An 11,917-nucleotide genomic window follows, 5' to 3' on the forward strand; every position below is an offset into this window, starting at 1 on the left:
AAAGATTGCTGCCTGATCTTTCTTCTGAAAGCTTCGTCCCAGAGGGGGCACCTGCCAGATGCCAGCCAGAGCTCTCCTGTATGAGGTGTCTGTCGGCCCCTTTTGGGAGGTGTCTGCCAGTCAGGTACACGGGGGTCAAGGGCACACTTGAGGAGGCAGTCTCACCCTTAGCAGAGCTTGAATGCTGTGCTGGGAGGTCCGCTGCTCTCTTCAGTGCTGTCAGGCAGGGATGTTTAAATCTGCTGAAGCTGCGCCCACAGCCACCCCTTTCCCTAGGTGCTTTTTTCCAGGGAGATGGGGTTTTATCTATAAGTCCCTGACTGGGGCTACTGCCTTTTTTTCGGAGATACCCTCCCCAGAGCTGAGAAATTTGGCAGTCTGGCCACAGCAGCCTTGCTGAGCTGAAGTGGGCTCTGTCCCGTTTGAACTTCCCAGAGGGTTTGTTTACACTGTGAGCATAAAGCCACCTACTTAAGCATTAGCAATGGCGGACGCCCCTCCCCCGACCAAGCTCGAGCATCCCAAGTCCATCTCAGACTGCTGCTGTGCTGGCAGCGAGAATTTCAAGCCAGTGGATCTTAGTTTGCTGGGCTCCATGGGGGTGGGACCCTCCGAGCCACATTACTTGGCTCCCTGGCTTCAGCACCCCTTTCCAGGGGAGTGAACGGTTCTGTCTCACTGGCATTCCAAGTGCCACTGGGGTATGGAAAAAAAGAACTCCTGCAGCTAGTTCAGTGTCTGGCCAAATGGCCGCCTAGTTTTGTGCTTGAAACCCAGGGCCCTGGTGGGGTAGGCACCGGATGGAATCTCCTGGTTTGCGGGTTGTGAAGACCATGGGACAAGCGCAGTATCTGTGCTGAAGTTCCTCAGGCTCAGTCCCTCGCAGCTTCCCTTGGGTAGGGGAGAAAATTCCCCAAGCCCTTGAGCTTCCTGGGTGAGGCGATGGCCCACCCTGCTTTGGCTTGCCTTCCGTGGGCTGCACCCACTGTCCAACCAGTTCCAATGAGATTAACCGGGTACCTCAGTTGGAAACGCAGAAATCACCTGCCTTCTGCTTCAATCTCACTGGGAGATGCAGACCGGAGCTGTTCCTATTCAGTCATCTTGCCAGCAATCGGCTTTTCATATTTTCTTCTGCTTATATTCCACCAAATTACATTGGTCTCTCTATTGCCGATTCTTAGTGTATTGTTTTAATTTCATTCAATGGATTTTATATTTGAATGATATACCTCAGAGTGTGTTATGAGGTTGGGCTACTTTTTAAATCTCAGTCATACTTTAGCTCTCCCCACTTTTTTTTAACCCTTTTAATGTTTTCTTATGGAAGGAAGTGTTATTATGAACCTGAATTTATAACACTTTCTTTTTTGGACTGTACCTTACTCTCAAGTTTGGTAATTTTATGGTAATAATTGGTGTTTCTTTTGTCTGTAGATAAAGTAAAATTTTCTTGGCTACTGCTTTTGAATAGTCCCTCCAATATTTAGATGTTCCTTTGGCATATAATCCTTACTTTAGCTTATACCAAGTAGCTCTAAGTAGTAGAGTAATGAAAGTTGTAAAATATAAAAGAATTTGAGTTGGTCTTTTGATATATTTCTTGTGAAACTTCTCTTTTTTCACATGACTTTGAATTGATACTTTCACAATTTCACATGAGAGTAAACGCTTGTATTCTTGCCCATGTGTCCTTTCTCTGTCTTTATTTACACCATTTAATGGTTTTTGGGGTGATTTTTAGCAAACCAATATAATTGGAACTCATAACCGAACAAATATATTGCTCATTTCATATAGTCACCTTGCAAGACCATACACATACTCTAGCAATGTTGACATTGCTGCAAATCTGAGTGGATTTCAATTTTCGGAGCTGTCATCAGAGCCAGCTGATATATCATGCAAAAAAATAACTTTCATCATCTTGTAATTACACCTCAATTTGGACCTTATTTGGACAAGTAATACAAAATTTGTTTTCTAAACTTTTTTTTTTTTTTTGGACTTGACTTCCGAAGGTAATTTACACCTTCATGCTTTGGGTTCTTACTTCCATTAGCCTTTCCTCCTCTGCCATATAAAGCAGTGATTTTAAGATAAGTGCTTTAATAATAAGTGCACAAAATGGTATGTAACATGCTGTGGAATTTAATGTAAATCACAATATAAATTTTTAATGTTAACAATTATGTTATTTCTACATTAATGGTGTCTTATATAGAGTAATAAATGTGTTCATTGAACCGTTAGAGAGCAGTGTGTTTTTTGTTTCAACTGACAAATACCAAAGAGAGTTTGCATCAAGGGAGAAATTTTCAGATTAGTGTCACAAATTATAGATCTCTGTGTTTCACTTGAAACATATTTGGAGATCCAAGCCAACAAGCCAAAATACCGTGTTTTTCACTGTGCTTAATTCATCTTTCTTTCTTGCCTTTGGGGCTTTTCCACCTTTCTTTTCTGAGATGTCCTCTCTGTATCTGGATGCTTGGGGCTTCTCAAGACAGCACCCCACTTAGAGAATGGAGGCAAATCAAGATTTTTTTCCAAGTCAATTGATTACTTAATTCTGTTTTCAAAGTCTATCTCAGGCAAAATGGTGAAGTATATGGAGTGGATCCTCTGTTCACCTTCACCTCCCCATCGCTTCTGTTGGTCCTCTCAAACAGTCCCCTGTTGTCCCTCCTCTCTTTCTCTATGTCTCTTGCATCTTACTGGATCAAGACAGCACATCAGTTTTAGAGCTTTTTCTACATTTTTCCACCAATCCTATTGCCAATATTTCAGGACAGTTGTTACCTGACAGTGACATTAAATTTACAAGAAAATAAATTCCTACTGCTATGGTTGCTAATATATTTCTCCTCTCATGTAAGAAAAAAACCTAATCCAATAAAAACATTGTTTTAGTTCATTTTATTTTAAAAGACGTTTTATTTTTAATTTATCTGGGTACATAGTAGGTATACATTTTTATGGAGTACAAAGGCTTTATTTTTAATTTATCTGGGTACATAGTAGGTATACATTTTTATGGAGTACATAAGATGTTTTGATATAGGCATGCAATGTGAAATAAGCACATCATGGAGAATGGGGGTATCCATCCCCTCAAGCATTTATCCTTTGAGTTACAAACAATCTTATTATGCTCTTTAAAATGTAGAATTAAGTTATTATTGACTATAGTCTAAATACTAGATCTCATTCATTCTTTCTATTTATTTTGTACCCATTACCCATCCCCACCTTGCCCCCTCAATCCTCCCACTACCTTTCTCAGCCTCTGGTAACCATCCTTCTACTCTGTATGTCCATGAGTTCCATTGTTTTGATTTTTAGACCCCACAAGTAAGTGAGAACATATCATGTTTGTCTTTCTGTGCCTGGCTTATTTCACTTCACATAATGATCTCCAGTTCCATCCATGTTGTTGCAAATGACAGGATCTCATTCTTTTTTATGGCTGAATAGAACTTCATTGTGTATATATACCACATTTTCTTTACCTGCTCATCTATTAATGGACACTTAGTTTGCTTCTAAATCTTAACCGCTGTGAACAGTGCTGCAACAAACAGGAGTGCAGATATCTCTTTGATCTACTGATTTCCTTACTTTTACATATATACTTAGGAGTGGGATTACTGGATTGTATGGTAGCTATATTTATAGTTTTTTGATGAAACTCCAAACTGTTCTCCATAGTAGTTGTACTACCTGACATTCCCACAGACAGTGTACAAGGGTTCCCCTTTCTCCACATCCTTACCAACATTTGTTATTGCTTGCCTTTTGGGTCTAAGCCATTTTAGCTGGGGCGAGATGATATCTAAATGTAGTTTTGATTTGTATTTCTCTCATGATCAGTGATGTTGAGCACCTTTTCATATACCTGTTTGCTATTTGTATGTCTTCTTTTACAGTCAAAACTTCCTTAGGTAAACTCATTCAGGTTGATGAAAATGGTCTTGGACTTTCCAGGATCATGGAAGTAAGACTGGAGAAAAAGGAACCTTTTGAGCTTTTCAAAGCACAGCTTGTGCTTTGAAATAATGCTATGTAATAGCATTATTCCTGATGGATGTACTTGAATAAAACTCCAAAACATCAAGACAATGTATCTGATAGACTTGTAGTTTGGATATAACTATAAGCAGTTGGAGATGAAAAACTTGTGAATATCTTATTACGGTTCTATAAATAATAGCATCATCTTCTCAATGGAAGAAAACAGAACTTTCTTCCTCTTTGGCATTTATGTAAAATGAATGACTTCTACATATGCCAATATATTTTTGTAGTTTATCTTCTGCCATCCACTGAGTCTAATTGAGCTACTTTCACTAACGGTATTATTATAGGCCAATGTGGTATTATGTTCTCTGATTGGGAATTATACCAAAAGAAAAATAGTAATAGCATTCTATGTTAGTGTAGAGCTTTTACAATTTTCAATACCTATCCTCATCTATAACTTCATTCTCTCTTCCAAACACTTCTGCCAGTTAGGGAGCATGAGTATAATCCATACTTTATTGATGAGAAAATTGAAGCACAGAAGCTGTGACTTGTGCGTGAGTGCATAGCTAATTAGCGGCAGAACTGGAATGAGTGTTTTTAAATATTACTGTTGTATACCACACTGCATCTACTGCAAACAAGTAAAACCAGAGGGAAAATGAGAGCAAACTGTTGATTTTTATTTTCTTTTTCCATTTAAAGTCAGAGCACTCATCATAATAATATCAATAATCAGTACTTTTGGGCTGTTCTCATCTATCCAAAAGTAGGAATATATTAAACACCTACTGTTTGTCCAGCATGGCTTAGAGATTCATGAAGGCTAATGCTGTCACCAACTGGTGACCAGAGAAAGTTCAGAAGCTCTTCCTATAATCCTTATTTACTTTCACAAAGTGACTAGGGATGGGAAGAATAGGATAATTACTCAATACTAAGACAATTGCATTTTCCTATAAACTGGTTCTAATTGTCACAGCCAAGGTTCCACCTTTATCTATTTTATAATAAATAACACTAATATTATTAAGTTGTTATATAGTGGAGTATTTTACTTTAAAAATACTTCAGTATATACAGTGTAGTATAAACGTGCACAATTAAGACAATTTCACTGTAGGGATAGTTAATTAGCATTTAAAGTACTTTAAATTGGCTGAAACTACAACAATTCTAGAAGATAACATTGGAAAAACCCTTCTAGATATTGGCTTAGGCAAGGATTTAATGACCAAGAACCCAAAAGCAAATGCAATAAAAACAAAGACAAATAGCTGGTACCTAATCAAACTAAAGAGCTTTTGCACGGCAAAAGGAACAGTCAACAGAGTATACACAAAACCCACAGAGTGGGAGAAAATCTTCACTATCTATACATCTGACAAAGGACTAATATCCAGAATCTACAACGAACGCAAACAAATCAGTAAGAAAAAAAACAAACAATCCCATCAAAAAGTGGGCTAAGGACATGAATAGACAATTCTCAAAAAAGATATACAGATGGCCAACAAACATATGAAAAAATGCTCAACATCACTAATGGTCAGGGAAATGCAAATCAAAACCACAATGCGATATCACCTTACTCCTGCAAGAATGGCCATAATCAAAAAATGAAAAAACAGTAGATGTTGGCATGGATGCAGTGAACAGGGAACACTTCTACACTGCCAGTGGGAATGTAAACTAGTACAGCCAATATGGAAAACAGTGTAGCGGTTCCTTAAATAACTGAAAATAGAACTACCATTTGATCCAGCAATCCCACTAAGGGGTATCTATCCAGAGGAAAAGAAGTCATTTGAAAAAGATAATTGCACACACATGTTTATAGCACCACAATTCACAATTGCAAAATTGTGGAACCAACCCAAATGCCCATCAATCAACTAGTGGAAAAAGAAACTGATATATATATATATATATATATATATGTATATATATATGTAAAGGAATACTATGCAGCCATAAAATGGAATTAATTAACAGCATTTGCAGTGACCTGGATGAGATTGGAGACTATTATTCTAAGTGAAGTAACTCAGGAATGGAAAACCAAACATCGTATGCGCTCACTGATATGTGGGAGCTAAGCTATGAGGACACAAAGGCATAAGAGTGATACAATGGACTTTGGAGACTTGTGGGGAAGAGTAGGAGGGGGGTGAGGGACAAAAGGCTACAAATAGGTGCAGTGTATACTGCTTGGGTGATGGGTGTACCAAACTCTCACAAATCACCGCTAAAGAACTTACTCATGTACTCATGTAACAAAATACCACCTGCAACCCAATAACCCAATAACTTAAGGAAAAAATAAATTAAAAAATAAATAAATATATAAACATAAAAATAAATAAATAAGCAAAGTACTTTAAATTGGAATCCACAAATTAGAAATGGCTACTTAGCATTTCAAATATTATGATCAAAATCCATACTGGAGAATTTGTATTTAGAATAAGAGACATTAGAAATATATTTCATTGATATTCAGGAGAGATGGTTGGTTAGAAAGGCAGTAAGGTCCTATGACCTTACCAGAACCAGGTATAAGAATATTGTGAGCCTGGCAACTATGATTCTCTGTGCAAAACTCAATATCCAAAAGTCCATTGATTCCATATTCCTCCACTTCACAGAGGACTCTGCCTCTTGTTGTGAGTACCACACTGGCTGCCCCTGCTCTAGGAATATCATTGCGCCTGTCCAAAAGTAAATCTTTTCTGCAAAGTGTTAGTCTGTGTGTCTCAGGGCAGAGAGTGGGAATTAACCTGGGCTGCATGCAGTTATGTTTTTGTAATTATAAATATTTTGTGCACGTGACAAAATTTGCAAAGCTTGTTTTCAATGTAGCATACCACATGATGGTGAGGTCTTGCCATAGGAAATCTACAGCCCCCACCAAATGGCGACTACCAAAAGCTTCCTTTAATACCAAAAAGACCTGATAATTGCTAAATAACAAAATTACTTTAGGACTTTTTAAAAAGACTGCTTATGATGTGCCAGACACTCTCTTAAGTATATTGCCTATTTCCTCTTATTTAGTCTTTAAATCAAATCTATAATTTGTAGAGTTTTTACAAATTTTATTTTTATCATCTTCATTTTTCTGAAATCAGACAAGATCAGGTGTGTTCAGGGTGGTATGGCTGTAGACTCTTCCTCATTTTTCTGATGAGGAAACTGAGGCTTAGAGAGATTAGGTAACTTGTCCAAGATTTCCAAGCTGGTATTAGAGCTGAAATTCTTATTCAGATCTATTTGCTCCAAAATGTAAACATGGGCTTGTGTTTGCCAAAATGTAAGATGTGTAGCTTGGTGGTATACAATAATTATTTCAGGTGATACACAGACATAACCTTTAAAAATAATAATTCAGTAAAAAAGCAATTTCTTTTTATAATCTTTTACTTTTCTGATTGCCCAATTAAAAATGACTCACATTAGGCCAAGTGTGGTGACTCATGCCTGCAATCCCAGCACTTTAGGAGGCCGAGGTGGGCAGATTGTTTGAGCCCAGGAGTTCAAAACCAGCCTGGGCAACATAGTGAGCCTCTGTCTCAAAAAAGAAAAAAAAAAATGACTCACATTCAAGTGACTCTCTTTCATATTACTCTATTTTATCTTCTTTAAGGAATTTGTTCTAGCTCAAATTAACCTGCATATTTATTTGAATTAATTGCTTTTTAAAAATCTTCACTCACTAGGATCCCAAGGAGACTAGTATCTTGAGTATCCATGTACATAGTAAGAGCTCAACAAATATCAATTTTATGAATAGATGAATGTATTGTGTCAAAAAGAAAGTTCCAATTTGGTGCTAATGAATCATTAACATCTTTTTATTATTTGCTAATTTTTCCTTTTAATAGAGAGCAAGCAGGCTTGGGGTGAGAACATTTGACAGAAGTATGTAGATAGAGGCTGGTCACAGTGGCTCACACCTGTAATCCTAGCGCTTTGGGAGGTCAAGGCAGGTGGATTGCACGAGCTCAGGAGTTCTAGACCAGCCTGGGCAGCATTGTAAAACCCCATCTCTACAAAAAATACAAAAAAAAGTAGCCGAGTGTGATGGCCTGTGCCTCTAGTCCCAGCTACTTGATGGGGGGGGTGAGGTGGGAGGATCTCTTGAGCCCAGGAGGTCAAGGCTGCAGTGAGCTGAGATCACACCACTGCACTCCAGCCTGGGGGACAAAGTGGGACCCTTTCTCAAAAAAAAGAGAAGTACCTAGTTAGAAATTATACCTGTTCTTTATCACTAGCAATGCTGAATTTCTATTCAAGCTGCTTCCTTTTAAAATAAAGTTATGTAATTACAAAATATGAGTGTGTTAAAAGAAAAAAATTAAGTAAATAAGTGTACAGGCATTGGGAATGTATGGCAATGATTGTGAATGTTACATGTCATCATCAATGAAAATAGAATATTTTGTAGTAGAGAAATAAATAAAATGTGCTTTAAAGTGCACTTCAGTAATTCAGTTGAATATTAAATCTCTAGAGGAGCTCCAAAAGAGTTCTATATCATGATTTCTACTCTCAGTTCAAAAGGGAAGGCAACATGTATTGAATGATGCTATTCTAAATGATCAAGAATCCTATATAATGCAGAAGAAAATTTTTAAAAAGAGCGAAATCAATTTGGGCTTGAGTAGACAGGAAAAAATAGCTTTGTAGTTGTGGAATTCAGTTGTGTTCTAAAAACAGAATTTTACTACACACCCACCTACTGATTTAACCAATATCAATTGAAAATCCACAGTAAGGAAAATAATGTACCAGGCATTCTTGCGCAAAGTAACCTAAAAGAGCTTCCTCTTGCTCTGAAGACAATCACAATACAGTGGAGAATTGACTTACAGTGCTTATCTCCTATGTAAGTTCATATAAAGTAAACTGATTCAGAAAAAAAATGACCAATTGCACCTATGGAGGGATGATCAAATCAAGAATAACTTCCTACAGGTGATAGCTTTTGAGGTAAGTCTTTAAGGTTGAATAACAATATTTGCATAGTTGGGTGAAGGAAGGATAGATGACAAACTAAGCTGAATAAAAGTGGAGACAGGAGTCAACATGGTGTGTTAGAGAGATGAAAGGGAAGCTGGCTTGATAGGCTCAGATGGAAACTGACTTTATTTATGTGGACAAATCAGGGGCCCATCTACATTTGATGGGGCCCTCTTTAAGAGAAATATTATAAAATTATGAATGCAATATTAGGTATGAACAAGTTACTTAAAATGGGCAAACAAATCTCAGCAAATTTCAAATTTTATTTTATTATTATTTTTTGAGATGGAGTCTCGCTCTGTTGCCCAGGCTGGAGTGCAATGGCGTGATCTCGGCTGACTGCAACCTCCGCCTTCCAGATTCAAGTGATTCTCCTGTCTCAGCCTGCCGAGTAGCTGGGATTACAGGCGCCCACCACCACGCTTGGCTAATTTTTGTGTTTTTAGTAGAGACGGGGTTTTTCCATGTTGGTCAGGCTGGTCTCGAACTCCTGACCTCAAGCGACCCACCCACCTCGGCCTCCCAAAGTGCTGGGATTACAGGCATGAGCCACCAGCCGAATTTCAAATTTTAGAAGGCCAACAAACATTTTAAAATAACAAATATTTTAGAATTCTAGTAAAATAACAAATATTTTATTGCATCATGGCTTGAATACCTCTATATACTTTTCTTCATATAAGTTTTGCCTGATATTTATTGATTGCCTCTTTATAGGACAATAGTTTTGTAATTTAAATGTCTATGGAAAGAATTAAGAGATGATTCCTTTCCCCTGGAGTATGACAAAAAATCGTTTTTATCATTGTTGGTTTAAAAAAGGTTATTTTAGTTTCACAACTAATTATCAATAATGTATGACAGATTTGTCATTCAGAGAAAAAAAAGTCATGTAAATTTGTAGAATTGTCAAATTTGGTAAAACTTTCAAATTTCCTTTATATGTGAGCTGAAAGTTTTCTTGGCATTTCAAATTTTCTTGTACAATGACTAATCTTAGACACTCTTTTAACTGGTGACACTCATAACAAATTGTCATCAACATCCTCATTGTCATGGCAAATTGTGAGTTTATCTTTGCCAGTGTCAGATAGTTCATCAACTTCCTTTTAGCCAGATTGCAAAAAGTCCCATGACTCTATTTCCAACTCCAATGCCATCTGACATGAGACAAAATCAGAGTAGATTAAGATAGTGGTCTTAACTGAATGTAGTTAAAGTATGCTACTTGTGCAAATTTTTCAGAAATATATGACCATATGAACATGTTGCTGAGGCCTTGCCAGGCCTTGAAAGGGGCCTGTGCAAGTGAGGGGCACAGAGATTAAGTTTTATTAGCTTCTCAGAAATTCTACCTCTGAATAAGATTTTTGAGTACTTTGCATGCCAGGATGAGGAGAGTGAATCTAAGAGATGTATTGAATGAAGAAGTAAGATACATTGGATAAAGGATGTAAAGTAAAGAATATAGAGTGCTGGCCGGGCGCGGTGGCTCTTGCCTGTAATCCCAGCACTTTGGGAGGCCAAGGTGGGCGGATCACAAGGTCAGGAGATCGAGACCATCCTGGCTAACACGGTGAAACCCTGTCTCTACTAAAAATACAAAAAAATTAGCCGGGCGTGGTGGCGGGCACCTGTAGTCCCAGCTACTCGGGAGGCTGAGGCAGGAGAATGGTGTGAACCCGGGAGGCGGAGCTTGCAGTGAGGAGAGATTGCGCCATTGCACTCCAGCCTGGGCGACAGAGCAAGACTCCCTCTCAAAAAAAAAAAAAAAAAAAAAAAAAAGAATATAGAGTGCTAATGTGAATTTATAGGATGTAAATTCCAGGATAAATTTCTGTGCTAAGTGATATGCTAGTGGCTCGAGAGCAATTGTTCTTCTAGGGATGAACTTTGTGTTTCTCTACAATCTGCTCCTATAAATGAGAAGTATAGAGAAACCATAAAATGGTTCATAAAATCTTTGTTAAAGGCATATTTACATTTACTTAATCCTTCATGATAATTAGATGCCCATTATCATATTCAGATACTGTGTTCCAATATTTAGGTACCTGTGAATAGAATGATTACTACCTTATTTTGCAGCAAACTGACTGATACAGATTAATAGTATCATGTGGGACACTGCCAAGCCTATAGAAGCTAAGGAGTAATAAAGAATGGTTAAGGAAAATGTTCTAATATGCTAAATGGTAAAAAAAATACAGTTCATTTTAGAGTTTATCAGCTAAATTCACCTTGAAACTAAAATTTTATGGAAGAGTGAACTCTGGATAATGCTGCAGAATAAAAGCTTGGAGCCAGGTTTAACCGACGAGTAATTCTGGGGAAAAGAAATACACCAAAAAAAAATTTTTATCCCTAGTACATTAACCATTTCTATGGTACACCCTGGATGACTCTAGAGAATATCATTTACCTTCTGAAAGGTGAAGCAACAGGTAATACCGAGGAATTAGATAAAGCAACAAAAATAAGATGGCTTTTAGTTTGTTTTTCTGTTCTTTTGTTTTGCTTTAGACAGTAACTTATATTGAAGTTCAGCCAGTACAACCAAATTATTTTTTAGTGTTTATTAGTGTTCACTGAATAGAGGTAACTAATAATGGTCACTGTATCTGAGCATCTACAATTAGCCATTCTAACTTGTTCTCTGCCTTTCCAGTTTCTAGCAAAGCCTCCAAATTAGAGTTGCAAATTTACTCACATTATAGCTCACATGGAAAAAGAAAATGAAATGACTCTCAGAATGCAAGAGTCTTTAGAGAAATAGCAACAAAATGGAATGTATAGACAGTGTTGGACTCTTAGTTGGAACTAAATTAAATGTAAAATGTTTCGAGAAAATAAGATAAATTTAAATATG

At 37.4% G+C, this 11,917-nt stretch overlaps 1 annotated feature.

Annotated features, from left to right (window-relative positions):
- Positions 438 to 1,283: an enhancer, noted in NCBI's record as "H3K27ac-H3K4me1 hESC enhancer chrX:113370803-113371648 (GRCh37/hg19 assembly coordinates)". NCBI's record gives its function as "activates a minimal SCP1, AML or CMV promoter by ChIP-STARR-seq in naive H9 embryonic stem cells {active_cell/tissue: H9 hESC(naive)}" and the evidence as "EXISTENCE:reporter gene assay evidence [ECO:0000049][PMID:30033119]".

This window comes from Homo sapiens, chromosome X (assembly GCF_000001405.40).
Source record: "Homo sapiens chromosome X, GRCh38.p14 Primary Assembly".
Classification (NCBI taxonomy): Eukaryota; Metazoa; Chordata; class Mammalia; order Primates; family Hominidae; genus Homo; species Homo sapiens.